At 42.2% G+C, this 20049-nt stretch overlaps 1 protein-coding gene across 50 annotated transcripts in view, besides 6 other annotated features; it reads right to left on the bottom strand.

Moving 5' to 3' along the window:
• Positions 2010-2510: an enhancer, noted in NCBI's record as "H3K4me1 hESC enhancer chr8:38722055-38722555 (GRCh37/hg19 assembly coordinates)". NCBI's record gives its function as "activates a minimal SCP1, AML or CMV promoter by ChIP-STARR-seq in naive H9 embryonic stem cells {active_cell/tissue: H9 hESC(naive)}" and the evidence as "EXISTENCE:reporter gene assay evidence [ECO:0000049][PMID:30033119]".
• Positions 2099-2148: an enhancer, noted in NCBI's record as "active region_27264". NCBI's record gives its function as "activates an Ori minimal core promoter by ATAC-STARR-seq in GM12878 lymphoblastoid cells {active_cell/tissue: GM12878}" and the evidence as "EXISTENCE:reporter gene assay evidence [ECO:0000049][PMID:35858748]".
• Positions 2511-3011: an enhancer, noted in NCBI's record as "H3K4me1 hESC enhancer chr8:38721554-38722054 (GRCh37/hg19 assembly coordinates)". NCBI's record gives its function as "activates a minimal SCP1, AML or CMV promoter by ChIP-STARR-seq in naive H9 embryonic stem cells {active_cell/tissue: H9 hESC(naive)}" and the evidence as "EXISTENCE:reporter gene assay evidence [ECO:0000049][PMID:30033119]".
• Positions 4766-5266: an enhancer, noted in NCBI's record as "H3K27ac hESC enhancer chr8:38719299-38719799 (GRCh37/hg19 assembly coordinates)". NCBI's record gives its function as "activates a minimal SCP1, AML or CMV promoter by ChIP-STARR-seq in naive H9 embryonic stem cells {active_cell/tissue: H9 hESC(naive)}" and the evidence as "EXISTENCE:reporter gene assay evidence [ECO:0000049][PMID:30033119]".
• Positions 5267-5767: an enhancer, noted in NCBI's record as "H3K27ac hESC enhancer chr8:38718798-38719298 (GRCh37/hg19 assembly coordinates)". NCBI's record gives its function as "activates a minimal SCP1, AML or CMV promoter by ChIP-STARR-seq in naive H9 embryonic stem cells {active_cell/tissue: H9 hESC(naive)}" and the evidence as "EXISTENCE:reporter gene assay evidence [ECO:0000049][PMID:30033119]".
• Positions 10627-10686: an enhancer, noted in NCBI's record as "active region_27263". NCBI's record gives its function as "activates an Ori minimal core promoter by ATAC-STARR-seq in GM12878 lymphoblastoid cells {active_cell/tissue: GM12878}" and the evidence as "EXISTENCE:reporter gene assay evidence [ECO:0000049][PMID:35858748]".
• TACC1 (transforming acidic coiled-coil containing protein 1) overlaps positions 14019-20049 on the bottom strand; it is a 124447-nt gene continuing 118416 nt past the window's right edge. For all 50 annotated transcript variants that reach the window (NR_148051.2, NR_148049.2, XM_047422141.1 and 47 more), the window contains one exon: positions 14019-19092. Coding sequence is in view for 48 of the 50 variants with exons in the window: in XM_047422141.1 (XP_047278097.1) it covers positions 19024-19092 (69 nt within the window). In the remaining 2 variants the exon portion in view is untranslated. The remainder of the gene's footprint in view (positions 19093-20049) is intronic.

The following is a 20049-nucleotide window of genomic DNA, read 5'->3' as shown; positions in this document are numbered from 1 at the left end:
TTATTTCTTGATTACATGCTAAACAAGGGGTGGATTATTTATGCCTCCCCTTTTTAGACCATATTGGGTAACTTCCTGACGTTGCCATGGCATTTGTAAACTGTCATGGCGCTGGTGGGAGTGTAGCAGTGAGGACGACCAGAGGTCACCCTCGTCGCCATCTTGGTTTTGGTGGGATTTGGCTGGCTTCCTTACTGCAACCTGTTTCATGAGCAAGGTCTTTATGAGCTGTATCTTGTGCTGACCTCCTGTCTCATCCTGTGACTAAGAATGCCTTAACCTCCTGGGAATGCAGCCCAGCAGGTCTCAGCCTTATTTTACCCAGCCCCTATTCAAGAACGGAGTTGCTCTGATTCAAATAACTCTAACACTCGGGAGACTCCTGGACACAAAACAACAGGCGGAAAAGTTGCATAGGAGTGGATTGCAGGTAAAGATGAGAGGCAGGGATGGAAAGCGGGTAGGTGGGATGACCAGTGCTCCCTTTAAGTCACCTGCAGTAAAATGAACTCCCCTGGCTTTTGTTGTCCTAAAGCAGGGGTCCCCAACCCCTGAGCCAGGGACTGGCCTCTTAGGAACAGGGCCACACAGCAGGAGGTGAGCAGCCCTTGAGTGAGCATGACCGCCTGAGCTCCATGTCCTGTCAGATCAGCGTCAGCATCGGATTCTCATAGAAGCACAAACCTTACCGTGAATTGCGTGTGCGAGGAATCTAGGTTGCACGCTGCTTATGAGAATCTAACCAATGCCTGATGATCAGAGGTGGAACAGTTGCATCCCGAAACCTTCCCCAGTCTGCCTCCCCTGATCCGTGGAAAAATTGTCTTCCGCGAAACTGGTCGCTGGTACCAGAAAGGTTGGGGACTGCTAAAGGTTGGGGACCCCTGTCCTAAGGCACAGTGACAAAGGTGTGTCCAGGAGCAAACGAAGGATTCTCTAAAGGGCCTTGGGGGAGGGGGAGGAAGTTGGAGGTTTGCAGAAAGGGAAGTAAGAATTTCCCAAAATGACAGTACCTTTAAGAGTTGCCTACCTGTCAGCTCCTGAGGCCCCAGGCCCCCAAGCCCCTTCTTCCCCCTCAACTAGGTAGGAGCATCTTTCTTGTTTCCTTTTGATTTGATGGCCTTAGATGGTGATAAGTTGCTTAGAGGTCCAGATTTTGTGTGGTGCCTGGGAAGACGAGGCATCTTATTCTGCACTTCATATGTAAGTCAGCTTCACTTCTGAAGCTATTTTTATACTTATACGAGGTTGACTTCCAGACCATAGGATCAAGTTTATAATAAAAGCACCGGACTGGGAATCAGGAACCCTGTTTCCCTTTTCTTGCAGTGACCAGCTAGCTGCTAGCAGTTGGGCAGTTGCATTTTCAACTTCCTTCACTGCTCAGGCAGCACACTTATTAAAACTGCCCACTCAAAGTTTATTTATGACTCTTGCAAACCAATTTGCAGAACTGTTTTCCATTTCGAAGGTTGTGCCTTAGAAAATTTGGACCTGCTTTCAAAGTTCTTCCAATGATATCATTCCCTGCGAACTCCAACAGCCAGGGAAGTAGGATAAACAAAAGCAACCCTTGTGGGAAGTTCTCAAATTCCAAATGCTTGATCTTAAAATCTGGCTGAATTTATCGGCTGAAACCACCATTGATGGAGTATTTCTGGTTGACCTCCCTGCCCTCTGTCCTCTGCCCCCGCCACCCCCATTCTGAATGGTGAGCTTCTGGGCCCTTCTATTTGCATCTGCAAAGATACCTCCCCTGGGATAAGTGCCTGTGTTCTTCCGGGAACCAATTTAAACCCGAAAGGGCCTTTAAAAATACATTTAATAGTTGGAAAGGATCCCTTTCTTTTTAACTTCTGAGCTCATTCCCTCTGGGAATCAAGTGACATTTTGATTCCAGTGTGTAAGCTGTTTTTTCTTTAGATCGTTTTTTGTGTAAACATTCCTCTGCAAAATTATTTTCATATTTTAAGGAAACTTCTTTCAAGTGTCCAGTCAGACTGATTCCTATTCTGTTCCCGTCACAAACCCCCAACTCGATGCTCTCTCACCCACCAACTTCCCCATTTCTCAACAGCTCATATTCAAACAGATTCTACTGTCTGTTAAAAGATTTCCCCGAGCAGGCATGGTGGTTCATGCCAGTAATTCCAGCACTTTGGGAGGCCAAGGTGGGCAGATTGCTTGAGCCCAAAGATTCGAGACCAGCCTGGGCAACATAGCAAGACCCTGTCTCTACAAAAAATTAAAACATTAGCTACATGTGGTCCAACACACCTGTGGTCCCAGCTACTAGGGAGGCTGAGGCCAGAGGATGGCTTAAGCCTGGGTGCTGGAGGCTGCAGTGAGCTATGATTGTTCCACTGTACTCCAGCCTGGGAAACACAGCGAGACACTGTCCCCCCACCAAAAAAGATTTCCCCAGCTTCCTGAAATTCCCACTTCTCAAATCTTCCCTGGGCTGTAGCCAAGGCGAGGCCGACTAGGCTGAACAAAGCCCACAGAGGTCAGGGTGGGGAAGCTCATCCAGAGGCATCATTGTCCTGCCCTGGTGCCATCCGCAGGGAAGCCAGGCAGCCCTGACAAGGCAGATCAGCACCAGCAAGACAGGTGCAGAGTTGGGTAGAGGACCAGCACCAAGGCTGAGCAAGGGTGAGAGCAGCTTTCTCACTGAGCGGCTGACAGGAGCCTGGCAGCCACAGTAAGAAAAGCAGGCCAATCAAGTTCTCTTCTGCCACCGAGAGCTCCAGTGCCTTTTTTGTACTTTTTGCAGAGAAAGGGTCTCCCTGTGTTCCCCAGGCAGGCCTCGAACTCCTTGGCTCAAGTGATCCTCCCACCTCAGCCTCCTTATTTTTCTTATATACATCAAGAAAAGTGAAGTGGCTGCATGGAAAGAATCCGTAAGTAATAATCCTACCACTGCCACCAAGTTACCGTGTAGCCTTGGATGGTCACTTTGCTATTAATATCTTTCATCCATAAAATCACAGAGCAATACTAGATCATCTTTAAGGGTCTTGCCCTTTGGCAATAATACCTTCTGGCCAGCAGAAAGTGGCATTGCTTTGACCCGTCAGTATCATGATGGGAGCTTCAGGTAGTCATTTTCTTCCGTTCATACTGGAAGGAAGGTCAGATTTTCCTCCCCGCTCCTGGAGTCTCCCGCTGGGACTGACATCATGCAGAGTGACAAGAGAAAAGCACACAGATTTGATTGACGTGATTGATTGACATGTGCATGGGAGCCCTCACAAGAAAAATAAAGGCACAGAGAAGCAGTTTATACAGAGAGCTGAAGCTTTCTCTACTAAGTTGAATGAAGAGTAGTAAATTGTGGAAAAGTAACCAGAAAGATAAGGGTTAGTGTCACAAAGTTTGTTTGTAGTTTTCTCTCAGTTTTGACTCCTCATCTCTAGTGATAAGAATGCTGGTTTCCTCCTAGTTTAGGAAGGGCATCTCTCATGGGAGAGTTTCATCTCCTGCTTTCAGGAGGAAAAAGGGAGATCGGAGTCCTTCTTGCACCTGCTAGGTTTTTTTTTGTTGTTTTGAGACGGAGTCTCCCTCTGTCGTTCAGGCTGGAGTGCAGTGGCGCAATCTTGGCTCACCGCTACCTCCGCCTCCCAGGTTCAAGTGATTCTCCTGCCTCAGTCTCCCAAGTAGCTGGAATTACAGGCATGAGTCACCACACCTGACTAATTTTTGTATTTTTAGTCAAGACGGGGTTTCACCATGTTGGCCAGGCTGTTCTCGAACTCCTGACCTCAAGTGATCCACCCGCCTCAGCCTCCCAAAGTGTTGGGATTACAGGCATGAGCCACTGTGCCCAGCCGCACCTGCTCTTTTTGAAGTGCATTTAGCCCAAAATAATTAATATGCCAAGGCAGCGTATTTTGGGGTGGCAGGTCCTGAACTCCTTCACTACTTGGGCATGTCAAGTTGCTCAGTCCACTTCTGACTTCAGCTCTGTTGCAACACTGTGGAGACAAGCTCCCCGTGCCAATTCTCTTCTTTGATTTTCTGAGCTTGGATCTTTCTGCACCATTAAAAACAGAGGCACTAATTTGAGGAATTAACTGACGTGGTCACTTGAGGTCATATAGCAGCTGTGGCCCTTCAGGATCTCACTTTTGCAAAGAAAACAAAAGAAGAGGCAAGAAGGTTGATTTGATAACTTCAGATGTTTAGGAAACAAAGCGTTCCATTCCAAGCATTTAGCTGTGGGGTGGAATCATGGCTCCTTCTGGGTTTTGTTCCCTATCAAATCACAACTTGGCCAACATTATCTGGCAAACGTTGTAAACCAGTGCTGTGGAGGACAGTGAAGAAACACTTCACCAATTCCAGAGCAGTTCTACAATACCAAGTCCTAGAAAAGAGGTTCAGCCAACAGTTTCTTTTAGTCTATTACATGCAGCAAACCCTTTGTCAGATGCTCTGGTTGTAAGGAGACAAGTACAGAAACAGTACTCTGGAACCTTGAAATCAATCTGTAATCTAACACATGTGCAAAACTGGACAATTAGAGGAGTGCTTCTCAATGACTCGGGGGCATATTGCAAGTAATTTATTAGTAATTGACACTCAGGAAACCAAAGTTTGAAAGTGGCTTTGAAAATATAAATTAGAGTGAATTCAAGGTCATCTTTCAGTGTTAAAAATGTGTGTAAAGACTCCTCTGCAGGAATTTCTCTAAAGAAGGGAATTGTTTTTGTTTAGGAAATTATCTTGAAGGGGCATTTAGGTATTAAAAGATGGGAGTGAAAACAAAGCCTGAAAAAGATCACATGGAAGCATCATTGAATTTCTCTGCATAAGAGGAAGAAATGTGGTTTTGTTTGTTTGTTGTTGTCAGAAATAGGTAAAGCTAGAGGTAGAATAGCTTATTTTCATTTTTAAATTAATTTTTATTTTATTATTATTTTTGAGACGGAGTCTCACTCTGTCACCAGCCTGGAGTGCAGTGGCACAAACTCAGCTCACTGCAACCTCTGCCTCCTGGGTTCAAGCGGTTCTCCTGCCTCAGGTTCCCGAGTAGCTGGGACTACAGACACCCCCGCCATGCCCGGCTAATTTTTTTTTTTTTTTTTTTTGTATTTTAGTAGAGATGGGGTCTCACCATGTTGGCCAGGATGGTCTCAATCTCCTGACCTCGTGATCCTCCCGCCTTGGCCTCCCAAAGTGCTAGGATTACAGGCGTGAGCCACTGCGCCTGGCCTATTATTTTTTTTGGAGATGGGATTTCCCTATGTTGCCCAGGCTGGTCTCGAACTCCTGGACTCAGGGAATCCTCCCGTCTCAGCTGGATTTATAGGTGTGAGCCACCACGTCTGGCCTTGGAGTAGCATTTTAAATTTCCTTTAGAAATGTCTTTGCATTCACTCACGGCTGTTTGGCCAGGAAGCCTCAGTTTCAGCCTGTCTTGGCTTTCAACATGTCTTCCTAAGTTCAATCATTTCTTGCTTTTGATTTAAAGTAAGAGACAGACATATGACACATTTCCTTTCACTTTACTTAGAGGACATGGTAGTGTTATTAATTTCAATATTGTTGTGTCTCAAGGAATAGGGAGGCCCAAGGAGAGGGAGAGAGATGGAGGAACACTGGTCAGTGGAGCAGTCTGACCACACACAACATTTATTAAGTTCACCATCTTATGTGGATGTGGATTGTGGCACCCCAAAACAAAGACAATAGTAACGTCAAAGAGCACTGATCGTAGATCACCATAACAGATATAATAATAATGAAAACGTTTGAAATATTGTAAAATAATTCCCAAAATGTAACAGAGGGACGCAAAGTGAGCACATGCTCTTGGGAAAACGGCACCGGTAGACCCGCTCAATGCAGGCTTGCCACATTTTGTAAAAAACAGCCTGCAAAGCACAATAAAGTGAAGTGCAATAAAGGGAGGTATGCCTGTAATGTCATCAAGGACATCTTCAGTCTATACAAATATATTGTATGGACATACTGTAGTACTGACTTCTATCAGAAAAAAACTGAGACTGAAATAGGCAAGAAAATCTTCTTAGACTTGCTCACCTATCTGTGTTATCTCCGTCTTTTTTTTTTTTTTTTCTGTAGACTTGGGGTCTCATTATGTCACCCAGGCTGGTCTCAAAGTTCTGACCTCAAGCGATCTTCCTGCTTCAACCTCCCAGAGTTCTGGGATTACAGGCGTGAGCCACCAAGCCACCGCACCCAGAATCTCTGTCTTTTATTGTCTTTGAGCTCTTGTGCAACTCCGTAAATGACAGTTGTCCATAGAAATGCAAATGGACTGCCTCCAATAGAATGATAATGGCCTTGAGGACAGACCCATTTTTCATCTATGTATACATTTATTTCGCAATTCCTTATTTTCTATATATTTTTTTGAATTCTTCTTTGAACCACTTATAACATTTCCTGGTTCCCTGATTAACTAATGAGCTTAATAAAATCTTTGACATGGGTTGATTTTGTGTATCTGTATGAAGGTCATGGTTATATCCTCTTCTAAAGATTCCTTGAAGACTGCATAGTTATTGTGAGGATTAAGTAAATTCGTGCATATGAAATCCTTAGAGTAGTGCTTGGCACCTAGAAAGCATGTCCATGTTAATGATTCTTGTTAATATCTACATGATAGGACTCAATTTACTATGATATAATTTTTGATGTCACCTACAGTATAAAGTCCATTAAGGTTAGGAACTTTCTAACTCCAGCACTGAGAACAGTAATCAAGCACCAAGAACCCAAGCACAACAAACATAGTACACTGCCAATAAGTCAGTTGAATAATGAATAAATTAGAACAGGGGGCTGGGCTCTAACAGGGGTGGCTCACGCCTGTAATCCCAGCACTTTGGGAGGCCGAGGCGGGCCATCACTTGCGGTCAGGAGTTCAAGACCAGCCTGGCCAACATGGCGAAATCTTGTCTCTACTAAAATACAAAAATTGGCTGGGTGTGATGGTGGGCTTCTGTAATCCCAGCTACTCAGGCTGAGGCAGGAGAATTGCTTGAAACCAGGAGGTGGAAGTTGCAGTGAGCGAGATCGCGCCACTGCACTCCAGCCTGGGCAACAGAGCGAGGTTCCCTCTTTAAAAAAAAAAAAAAACAAGGGCTGGCAAATCCATTTTTTAAAGGACCAAATAGTAAATATTATACACCTTGTGGGCCATATGGCCTCTGTTACAACTGCTTGATTATGTTGTACAAAAAAGCAGACATAGGCAGTATGTAAACAAATGTGTGTAGCTGTGTTATAAACAGATCTTATGCATGGACACTAAAATTTAAATTCAATGTAATTTTCATTTGACATCAAATGTCATTCTTGTTTTGATTTTTTTTTTTCCTCCACCATTAAAAAATGTAAAAGCCAGCTGGGTGCAGTGGCTCATGCCTGTAATCCCAGCACTCTGGAGAGGCCCAAGGCAGGAGGATTGCTTGGGCCCAGGAGTTCCAGACCAGTCTGGGCAACATAGTGAGATGCTATCTTTTTTTTTTTTTCCCAGGTGCTCAGTCACCATGTAGAAGTGGGCACGGGCAAAGTTGTCCTTGAGATCCCTGTCTCTAGAAAAAATTAAAAAATGAGTTGTGTGAGCCTGTAGTCCTAGCTACTCGGGAGGCTGAGGCAGGAGAATCACTTGAGCCCAGGAGTAACCTATGATTGTGCCACTGCACTCCAGCCTGGGCTACAGAGCGAGGCCCTGTCTCTAAAAAAATGAACAAATAAATAAAAATGTAAAAGTCATTCTCATTTTAGGAAAGTGACTTGCTAATCATTTCAGGAAGATTCCATTTGCAGTGATGACAAGATAATGGCTGTCTTGGCCATGCCTGTCATGTGGGTGGGGTGGAAGTGACTGGACCCAACTGCATCGAGTCCTTTGTCATCATCACTATTAACTGACAATCTTAAGTGACATCGATGGTTCTATACCCTGCCTGCAAACTGCCTTAAATCCTTCTTAGAACAAAACAGAATTATAAATAAAGATAGATTTATCTGCTGATCAAAAAATGTGATCAAAGTCACATTGCAACATGCCTCTTCTAAACAAGCTAGGAAAATGTTGAATTATATTATACTGGCATTGGTCAATTTTGTAGACCAGAATTAGGAATTTTCCAGCATTAGGAAAATGGCAGATCGCTGTCCAAAAGCACAAATAGGCCCAGCATTTGATCCACCTACACAATTGAAATGGGCCCAACTGGAATCTACAGATGCTGCCTACTTTGCCTCCTGGTACCCACGCCTCCCTCCCCTTCCCTCATATTGTCTCCCAAACAGAACAAAAGCACTTGCCTCCAGCCAAGTGATCTCTCTCCTCCCTGACGATCATGTGTGTTTGAACACCAAGTTACTAAAGTTACACACACAAAGGTACAGCTATATTTTTGCTTCGGAGTTCATAATTCCATTTCTTTTTTTTGGTGGGGGTGCTAGGATCTGATTTCATTTAGGACTCAGGCAAATTTAGATAGTGGACTTTCAAACAGGAATTCCATAAAAAGTAGCATTTCTCAATGCAGGACTATAACCAAATAAATTAGGAGAACAGCTGTGTCAGGAGAATGTCTCTGGAATAAGAAGGAAACCTGAGAAGAGGTTGGAAAAGAGCTCCAAGTTTTAAAGACAAATTTAAAATGTTAGAACACCTAAACACATACACAGTTTTAAGAACATAGAGTCCAAAGTTCTGTTTTTTTTGTTTGTTTATTTTTTGTTTTTTTGAGATGGAGTTTTGCTTTTGTTGCCCAGGCTGGAGTGCAATGGTACCATCTCGGCTCACCACAACCTCCGCCTCCCAGGTTCAAGCGATTATCCTGCCTCAGCCTCCTGAGTAGCTGGGATTACAGGCGCCTGCCACCACACCCGGCTAACTTTTTGTATTTTTAGTAGAGATGGGGTTTCACCACGTTGGCCAGGCTGGTCTCGAACTCCTGACCTCAGGTGATCCACCCGCCTCGGCCTCCCAAAGTGCTGGGATTACAGGCGTGAGCCACTGCACCTGGCCCAAAGTTCTGGTATTTTATAGATATACTGGTGAGGAAAGAGGTCCACAGCATTAGAGTGACTGTCCCAGGGCCCCAGGTCACAGGCCAAGGTTTCAAACCCAGCTCTCTTCTCAACTTGACCCAAGCTCTTTGTATAGAAGATGCAGGGAGGAAAAGAAAGCGGCCTTGTTTTCGTCTATGGCAAATTACCAAGTATTGATTTGACCTTTTATAGCTTTAAAAATATATTAAGTATATCTTATTGGAAAAGAGATGGCCCACGATACCACCACTTTGCTATAACCACAGTAATGCTTGTTTTTAAAGTAGGGCTGAGGAGTTCATAGCCTTTCCTCATAATAGTGCTTGTATAAAGAGAGGTGTGCAGGGGGAAGATAGCTTTCTCCCATCAGCGCCTACCCAGGACTCTGCACATGGCAAATGCCCAGTTAATAGCCAAACACCAGCAGGATACAAAATAAGGAAGAGGCTGGGTGTGGTGGCTCACACCTGTAATCCCAGCACTTTGGGAGGCCAAGGTGAGTGGATCACTTGAGCCCAGGATGGGCTGTGGAGTTCAAGACCGCCCTAGACAACGTATCAAGACCCCATCTCTACAATTAAAAAAAAAACAGGCAGGTGCAGTGGCGTGCACCTGTAGTCCTAGCTACTCACAAGGCTTAGGGGGAAGGCTCACTTGAGCCCAGGAGGTCAAGGCTGCAGTGAGCTATAATTGTACCACTGCACTCCAGCCTGTGTGACAGAGAAAGAACTCTGTCAAAAAAAAAAAAAAAAAAAAAAAAAGGAAGAACAAGGAAAGGGTGGAAATATAGAGCTAGCCACGAAAGGAAGGAAAGTTAAGAGAATCTTTGCAACTTTTCTGCAAATCTAAAATGATTCCAAAATAATTTTTAAATGTTTAGAGAAATTAATTTCCACAAACATCCCAATTGACCAAATATATATATATATATTTTTTTTTTCTTTTTTTTTTTTTTGAGACGGAGTCTCACTCTTGTCACCAGGCTGGAGTGCGGTGGGGCGATCTCGGCTCACTGCAACCTCAGCCTCCCAGGTTGAAGTGATTCTCCTGCCTCAGCCTCCCGAGTAGCTGGGTTTACAGGCATGCACCACCACGCCGGGCTAACTTTTGTGTTTTTAGTAGAGACGGGGTTTCACCATGTTGGCCAGTATGGTCTCGATCTCTTGACCTCGTGATCCACCCGCTTCAGCCTCCCAAAGTGCTGGGATTACAGGCATGAGCCACTGTGCCTGGCCCCAATTGACCAACTATTTTATCACACCTCTGGCATTCTCTGATTTGTATCTGATTTCTGCCTGTGTGACATTGTGGTGAATGATCTTGTCTCCTTAAGCTTATTTCCTTAACTCAAACCCTCAGATTCAACTTCAAATCTGACCACGTTTCTGAAAATATGTGGAACCTCAAGACTTGGTCACTTACTTCATACACACGTATTCATTGCCTTGCAGTTACTCAGTTGAAGTGTGGCATCGAAGAACAGACACCAACATCTAGTTAAGATTTAAATGAAAGATCTTGTCTACAGCAGATAGGAACAATTGTAATTTAGAATTGAACTGTGCAAAGAAATTTAAGTCTAAGAAGTTGTAATCAAGGAGAATTTTTGCTTCTAACAGAGGAGGTTTCATTTTTTCAGTTGAGAGTCGGGTTAGTTTTTGGCAGTGGCAGCAAAACAGAAATGTGTCTCTGAACCTGAGTAGCTCGCCCTCTGCTGCCTCGAGGAGGAGGATGAGTTTATGTTGGGACGGCAGAGGGAAGGAAGAATTTTACATTTCTTATTTTTTAGTAGACTTTATTTTCTAGAGGGCTTGTTAGGTCCACAGGCTTTTATTCTTTATGTACTCCCGTTCTAACGTTCTCTTTTCTTCTTTCCATCTCAACTGAGGATTAGAAAGGAATTTTTAGGTTGTGTTTTCTGAACGCAGCTTCATGTTTCCGTTCTGAAGTTTTGATTTCTTCAAGTTGCCATAAACTGTGGTTGTGGATTACTGTGTTCTAACTCTGTAGCTTACTTTTAACAAATGGAGATTGCAATCATTGTTTTTAACTCCTATAAAATCCTTGACTGATCCAACAACTGTCTCCCCATGACCTAAAGTTAGTGGCTTTTAAGCTTTTTTAAACTTGCTTTTTTTAACTTTTAGGCCCCCAAACCAAGATGTTTAAAATTACAACTCATTACCCATATATGGTATCATGTAAGTGTAATAAAATTTCATGAAACAGCACTTACATCTTCACTATTTGCTTTTACAAGCGTTCATTCTTCTGTTCTAATTCATAACCTCTAAAATGGGTTTTGACCTGCAGTTTGAAAGACGTGGCCCGAGAGAGAATAAGCCTTTGGGAATGGAGGCCCCCTGTGACCACTCATACACATTTGCACTGAAAGTTGACACAGGAAGTAAAATCATATTTTGCTTATTTAAAAAATTTTTAATATAAAAAAAAAATTTTTTGAGATAGGGTCTTGCTCTGGCGCCCAGGCTGGAGTGCGGAGGTGCAATCATGGCTCACTGGAGCCTCGACCTCCAGCTCAAGCAATCTTCCCACCTCAGCCTCCCGAGTAGCTGGGACTACAGGTGTGCACCACCATGCCCGGCTAATTTTTGTGTTTTTTGTAGAGACAGGTTTTTGCCATGTTAGAGGCTGGTCTCAAAATCCTGAGCTCAAGCAATCCGCCACCCTCGTTGGCCTCCCAGAGTGCCGGGATTACAGGCGTGAATCACCATGCTTGACTGAATCATATTTTACACATGGCATTTTTGCTGAAAATTCATGATGTTATACAAATCAACTGAAAGGGAGAAAGAAAAAAATACGTATCTGGAAAAGTACGGACTACATAAAAGACAAATTAGAGTGCCAGTCTTACAGTGAAATAGAAGGCATGTTCATCGTTGCACATCCAAGAGACGCTGTCTGGACTCCTTAATATTTTAGTAAAATATTGTGATTATGCCTGAATGCACCCAATTAGCTAATTGTGCTGTCATTTTTGATGTCTAAAACAAAAATGTCTTCTTGGTCTATATGATGTCTCACAGTTGAATGTTTTCTGATTAGGAGTTTGCACATCTTAACTTGGCACATTTTGTTAATTCTCAGAAATGCAGAAAATAGGGCTAGGCGCGGTGGCTCACGCCTGTAATCTCAGCAATTTGGGAGGCCGAGGCGGGTGGATCATCTGAAGTTAGGAGTTCGAGACCAGCCTGACCAACATTGTGAAACCTCCTCTCTACTAAAATACAAAAATTAGCATGGCGTAGCGGCATGCGCCTGTAATCCTAGCTACTTGGGAGGCTGAGGCAGGAGAATCACTTGAACCTGGGATGTGAAGGTTGTAGTGAGCTGAAATCATGCCACTGCACTTCAGCCTGGGCAGCAGAGCGAGAATCTGTCTCCAAAAAAGAAAAAAGGTGGAAAATACAGGCCTGTCCGGGTTAGATTTATCTCATAGATCATAAGCACCACTATCTATCCACTCTCAGGAAATAACTCAGATAATAACTAACCAACAACTCACAACTACATTTTTTCTTTCAAGAAATGTAACCTAGGGATGGCTTTCTTCTCGGGAAGAATCATTTTCATTACCCTATTATTTATATTTAAATGCTGTTTCAATAAAATGTAAAAACAATTTCTTTGGCTAACTGTCCCTCAAACTTTTCATGTTTCACTTTAAACTCTGCAAATAAATGAGTGAATGAATGAGTAAGTGTTGAGAAAAAGGTATTTGGTTTTCATCGGTCCTTAAGTGCCTACAAACTTGGAAAATGATATAAATACTACCTAAACCTAGGACTTGGATTTCAAGAGCTTGAAAAGAACTAAGTTGCAATTAATTTTTTTTCCCTCATTTTGAGTGAGGGCAACAATGCTTACTGACATACAAGCCATGTGATCTTCACTTCATTGCTTCTCCCACTGGGCCTGTTTCCATTGTAAAAGGACTTCAGTTGGCTAGATCAGGGTTTTTCATGCTTTGACCATTAGCCACAGCAAGAAAGTCATTTTTTGTCATGACCAAGTTCACATATATTCATTTATATCTGTAATAGATTCCATGAAGAAATACTTACGCTTAATTGCTATTCACTAAAATGGCCCCATGATCCCCTATTTGTAAAAGTATGAAAAACATTGGTGGTCCTAAATTATCTAAGAATACAATTCTGTAAGAGAGTAGCAAGGTTAATTTCCATCTTATTCTTCCCAATAATTCTTAGAAACATATTTCTACTGTGTTTCACATTCTGCAAATGGCAGTCTCCATCAGAGACTTTTAGAAGATTCTCTCCTGGTGATTCAGGCGCGCAGGGGTGAGAAATATGCCTTTTGGCATATTTGCAGACAGAGGCTGCACTGTCTTAAGATGTGGCAAACAGCAAGAAAAGTGATAGTTCTCTGATTTTCCTAAGTGGATCTCCAGCTAGTTGTAAAATGAAGCCTTAACTATCCTCTTAATTTGTCTTTTCCTGTAATACAACCCACAAAATTTCCTGCCCAATCTCCTATCCCTTTAAAGTGGAGAGTTGGCTTAGCCAGTATTTAAAAAGTTATTCCTGGTACCGCATTGAACCTAGAAGAAACAAAACACAGCAACTCTTTGCTCTGCACTATTTACATAGTTCTGCCTTACCCCAGGTCCTTCGAGTCAGAAAGCTTGGGGTGACTTGAAAAATGCCAGGGCAGACAACAAGTCTCTAAGCAAAACCAAGAAGCACCCAGCTAAAAACTTTGTTTGCACAGATGCAAAGGCACGACATCTACATGGCAGTATCTGAATTCCAAAGTTTGTTTTTAGTTACACACCCAACCACATGCACAAAATGAGTGTAGAGAAAATGTGATCTTTCCTATTTTTAGGTTGAAATATGGGGCTCATAAAAGCAGGGCTGCCATAAATTTTCACATTCAGGGATACAATTTATAACCAGGAAAAGTACCAACACCACACACACCCCCAAATCTAACAGTGGTAAACAGTTTTTATTCAGGCAATGAAACATGGAAAAAATATATTAGTAATCATTATAATAATTTGTGAGTATAACTTTTACAAATAGTTACTTGACATATAAAAAGGGAAATTACTGTGCATATAAAATTTATGTAGATGAATATTCCACACAACACAATCCTGATAGCAGTAGTCAACGCAGCACTCATCCCTCCAGATGAGGGGCTCCTCACACACTTCATGGCACCCGTGGGAACACAGTGGAAGCAGATGTGCAATGAACATTTACTTGGCACATTAGTATAATGGGTATCTATTGGCAAACACACACTTGCTAACAGCAATACTGAAAAGTTTACTGCTACCTCTGAGATTTAAAAGAAATGCCTGGATCCTATCCCGACGGCTGAGAAGGACCGAGGCTGAGGCTCTGGTGTGGTCACCTACACGCTGCCCTGTATCTGGACTGGGGATGGTTTGAGTTCAAATTTGTACATGTCCATCTGAAAATTCTTTATAAATACAGAATTAGCAGTTAATGATGTGACCAGGAAATTACTGTTTTGAGTATATGTCAGATACCACTAAAAGGCAGAGGGGGAGAAAGTGACATCTTGACAGTTCTAAATTAAAGGATCGATACAGGGAAGGTTCAGGCCACATCTCAGCTCTGAGCCTGGCCTCCTCCATACAAGTTAAAGCATTACACAGACCACCACAGGCCAGCATTGCACACAACATCTCCATATTAGAACTATAACCAGAATATATATTTATATAATAGCTGTAACCATATTATAGTTAATAAAGTCATTCCTTAGGAATCTTGTTTGTCCAAATCTAACTGCATGCTAAGAGGCACAGAAATGGGATTGCATTTGGACAAAAAACTACAAAAAAGTGCAATCTTTAGTCTCCAGGATGCAAGCTCTGGCACTAGGGGATGGGTCTTCCCTGGAGAATGCTGCCGCTGATAGTCTCTTCCAGAGGAGATCCTTTGAGAGGAGAGTCTGTTACATCAGTTTCTTTACTGTTACTCTATGGAGACTCAAGGATTTAGTGGTAAGTTGCTTTTTAAAAATAACTGGAATCTGGAGGCCAGTCAAACCTTTTTGGACAGATATCTCCTCGAAATACTTCTTTATTAAAGTATTTGAAGGAGATGACTTCTTAGACCTTTGGCTTGACATTCTGGGATTCCCAGACTATATTGTTCTTTCATAAGCAAATAATCTGTTATCTTTTAGATTCTTCAGAATAAATACATCTTTACTTTAAAATCCCTCGCTTGAATCATGTAATCTTTCAAAACCTAGTTTCTATCTTCCTAACAACAGGATAAAGTCAGAAATGCAAGTCAGAAAGCAAGCTCACAATCACATGACCACAAAGAGACAACAGTCAGAGACAGTTCATGAGATGGCTACCAATTATAATGAAAAACCAAGAGGAAGTTAAAAGGGGGCTTCAGAACTTTCACTCCACTAAAAAAGAATGTGCTGAAATCACTTCCAACTCAGTATACACAGACTTAACCAATGCTTGCTCTTAAAAAAACCCTTTTGAGCTTGAGTAACCACTGAGCTGCCCTTTGTTACCTTTATGGAAAATGAGTGCTTCACTCCAGCTGCTTTTACCCAGCCCAGGAACATCTGGGGGCAGTTTACACTCCCTGTTTATAATTAGAGTGAATTCAGGGCTATCTAATAAATATCTAAGTATTTGTGTAAGAGTTGTACAAAGTATGGGTAGGTTGAAAGGGTAACTGGCTGGAAAGAAAATTCAACTTGAGCTATCCTCCAAAACGAAACATAAATCTTCCCTCAGATTCCATACCATTCTGGAAGGCTGCCAAATCCTAGGTTTTTCACCATCATGTGCTTCTGCACTTCCTAATTTGGGCTGAGTCTGAAGAAGCTAGAAACCACGTGAGAAAACTGGGCTTCCCGGTATTTCCAGAGCAGTTTTACAGAACAAAAGGTTTGGGTAGGTCACTGGCTGGAAGGAGACTCTCCAACCTTGACTGTGACTATCTGGGCAGCCACGGGGGGAATTGTTCAGTTGGCCTCACGTTGCATTCCCCACTTAAAATACTGCTGGATAAAGGCTATCTACACTTTGGCAAAGTCAAAAGCTAAAGAAATTGCTCTGGATCCAGAATCTCAACAGGATCACCTAATATTCCCAAACCAACATCTAGGCCAGCAGCTGCCTTCTACTTTCCTTTTTCACTCCTGGTTTTTTTTTTTTTTTTTTTTTTTTTGAGACAAGATCTTGCTGTCACCCAGGATGGAGTGCAGTGGCATGATCATGGCTCACTGCAGCCTTGACCTCCCAGGCTCCCACCTCAGCCTCCCAAGTAGCTGGGACCACAGGCACGTGCCACCATGCCCAGCTAATTTTTATTTTGGTAGAGACAAGGTTTCACCATGTTGCCTAGGTAGGTTTCAAACTCCTGGACTCAAGTGATCCTCCTGCCTCGGCCTTCCACAGTGTTGGGATTACAGGAATAAGCCACTGTGCCCGGCCCTTTTTCTCTTCTGTAACAGAGTTTATTACTGCCTAGCTAGCAGGTTATTTGGCCCTCACATGTGTTGAGGCAAACTCTATACTATATTCTTACTCTCCAGAGTTCCAAAATCCTTTATTTTTAAAGAAAAATAAACAAACATACTTCATTCTGCCCAGTATATTCTCTTGATCTGTACAAGCTACGATTTTAATTCTCTTTGGAGAGGAGGCATCTGTTAAGTTCGAATGGGGGATATTTCCTCATAACGGTCATGGCTGAGAGGCCAGGACAATTATCACTTAACGAAGGTCCTTTGGTGCTCCCTGTGCATCAGCTTCATTCACTGGGGTCAGGTTCTTAAGGGGTCTCTTCCACCAGTGTGCTAGGGAAGGGCTGCCATCACCTCTGTTTAACACATAGCTACTTTCTTAAACACAATAAGCTTAAAAAGATGACTATGGATTTACAATGGAGGGCACTATAAGCCTCTCATACTTAAAACAGATCAATATAAAACAAGTAAACATGAAAACACCAAAACACAGCAGCAAAAAGATTTAGCAATCAATGTTTCTTTCTGCAAAATGCAAAATTAACTTATTTAGCAGTAGAGGACTAAAAAGGAAATCAGTTATACCAAGGGGAGACACGTGCCCTTGGTACTATGACCACTAGGACAGCATTCATATTACACCACAGTGACTGCTTTCAAAGCTCAAATGATTGTCAAGCCACTTCTCAAATGACAGATAATTTCTGTTGTTCTTTTTTATACAAAATGTTAAGACAACAGGCTTGAATATACAGCCTAAGCACCAATTATGATAAATGCATATTGGTAAAATGTGACTTCTGGCTTTAAAAGACATTATTGACCTCCCTGGGGCTAAAGATTGCACCCATGTGAGTAATACACTGCTAAAGAATAATTCATTTTTTAAGATCTATAGAGGTTCTCCACTAGGCACAATTCATTGCTGAAGTTGGATCATGCAACAGTTTTACAAGAGAAGTAGGAAAACATACGTATACTGAATATAGTGCATATCACCATGAAGACTTTCAGCATGTAAGATTAAGACAGGACAGTGCTTTAAAACACTTGCATGGATTTGGGTTTGCCTATTCAAATGAAAGGGAATTCATTGAGATTTATATGGAAAAATTCCATGTTGGGGTTAATGGCCCACCACTCTGAACTGAGTCCAGTAAGAGCTTGAGGAATTTGGCTTTGTTAGTACAGACCTTCTCCTTGCACTCCTCTTCTCAGTATTCAACAAGCTGTCTTTGTTTAAAAATATGCAAAATGCACTGATTTTTGGAGTGGTTCATGTGACTTTTACTGCTCATTTTGTTAAAAATTCTGTCTTAAGTTAGAAGGTATTTTTTGCTTTCTTTTCAACATCTGAAGAACAATGCATCACACTTGGGAAAAAAACATTTCTTCACCTTATAATTGGTAATGTGCTACAATTACCTTTTAATTAAGATCTGAGCCTTTTACAAGTAGATTTTCTTCACATACTTAAAATAGATCGAAACTCTGTCTCAAAAAAAAAAAAAAAGATAATGAAGACTAAATGTTGATTCTGTATTAACAAATGGAGGCAGAGGAGAGTAAATGACTCTAGGGCAGACTTGCCAAACCCTAGCTTGGAGGGAGTCCCATATTGCCGTTCATGCAGAAAGCAGACACTATCATTAGTCTGAGGACTAACCCTAAAGGGGCCACACCCATTAAAGCTGAGGAGTGTCCAAATACCAGGGCAACAAAACGTCATGGCAAATAGTCTTCTCCAGATATGAAAACCCAAGACTGTGGTCTTCACATCTTTAATCCCCCAAATTCTTAAGTTGGTGTTCTGAGTCAGGACTCTATTTCAAAATAGGGTCTCACATCCAAGGAAATATGTCCTTCTGTAGAGCAGTTCTTACTTGACTATGCTTCAGGGAAAAGAGCAGCAGCATCTATAAACATACATGTATGTGTGTGAGAGTGTGTGTAATTTAAAAGGGGATCCAGAGCCCCTTCTTGATTATAAATTGGAAGTAACAATAGGCCAAACTGTCTCCTTAAATAAAACCACTGATACTAAAAAATTAAAAGATTAAACAGATCACAAAAAAATCAGACAGGTGGTGGAGAAGACCCCAAAGAGGAGTTACAAATTTAACACATTTGGGAAAGTAAAGATGACTTTAAAACAAACTAAAGATAAATCACAAACCCAAACTCAGCAGCCTAAGGGAACCTTCATAGGGGGAAACTAGGAGGCTCCAGCACTGTCAGGTCACACTCCTTTCTAGACTATGCAACCCTCTAGGGTTTCTTCCAGGGCTGTTGCATTGGCAGCAAAGCGGGACAGGCAGCAGTAGGCATGTGCTTTTTTTAAGTTTTTTTTTTTCTCTGCAAAGGGGCAATTATTCCTGGATAAGGCAAGATAATTGTGGTCACAAGAGAAGCAGCCAAATGCAGATCTGTTGAGCTAACAGGGGGAGTGTCTCAGTCAGTCTTTCCCAGCTTTGCAATCAGCTCATCACAGATTTTTGTCAGTTCTTCAATTTCTTGGTTCTGAAAGACAAATGACATAATTATGCAGGCCACTTTGTATTCTGAAATAAAGGCAAATAGAGTTAACTAGTCCCAAGTCTGGATCTACCCTACCCTAGACATCCTAATTCAGTGATTTTTAACTTTTCTACATCAGAGATGCTTTAAAGAAAAAAAGGCTACACACCTCAAAAAATGTACTCATAAAATCATGCTTAAATTGAGTAAAGGGTGAGGACAGTCACCAGCCCTCTGAAACTTGTCCATGAATCTCTTAGTTCCCCAATTTTCTTGTTATCAGAGGAATTATCTGGGGTACTTGTCAAAAACATAAGTATCTGGGTCTCACTCAATCCATTAGCATATCTAGGGATGCTGGAGTCTGAATCTCCCAGGGAGCACCGTTCTAGGGGCTAACAGACCCTGTGATAAAAACTCCTGCTCTTGATGAATGGATGGCACAGGTATGAGTACATAATTGGAAATGCAGTAAAGAAAATACACCGGAGACATATAAAAACGGAAAGCTAAAAATTGCTTAGTGAGAAACAGGGATTGTTGCTAGTCCTGGTTTTCATTTATCTATAGCAGTTTCTCAAAGCAGCCCTGCTGATGTTTTAGGATGGGTAAATGTGTTGTCAGAGGCTGTCCTGTGCATTGTAGGATGTTTAACAGCATCCCTGGCTTCCTGCACTAGATACCAGCAGCATCTCCCAGTGGTGACAACCAAACAAATATATCTCCAGACATTACCTAACACCTAACATCCCCTGGAGGGCAAAACTGCCCCCAACTGCAAACCACTGATCTAAAGCAATGAAGGGGGAAGATGGCTTCATATTAATATATTGCATAAAAAACAAAGAAAGAAAGAAAGGCAGTCTCATGACCCCAACTAGGAAGCTGTTCTGAACTTCAGTTAAAATGCAACTTCCTCTCTGCACCCTGCCTGTGGATGATTTCCACATGATGTGCTTG

This window comes from Homo sapiens, chromosome 8, assembly GCF_000001405.40.
Source record: "Homo sapiens chromosome 8, GRCh38.p14 Primary Assembly".
Taxonomy (NCBI): Eukaryota; Metazoa; Chordata; class Mammalia; order Primates; family Hominidae; genus Homo; species Homo sapiens.
Note: the sequence above shows the minus strand (reverse complement) of the source record. Positions and strands in the feature narration are given on the sequence as shown.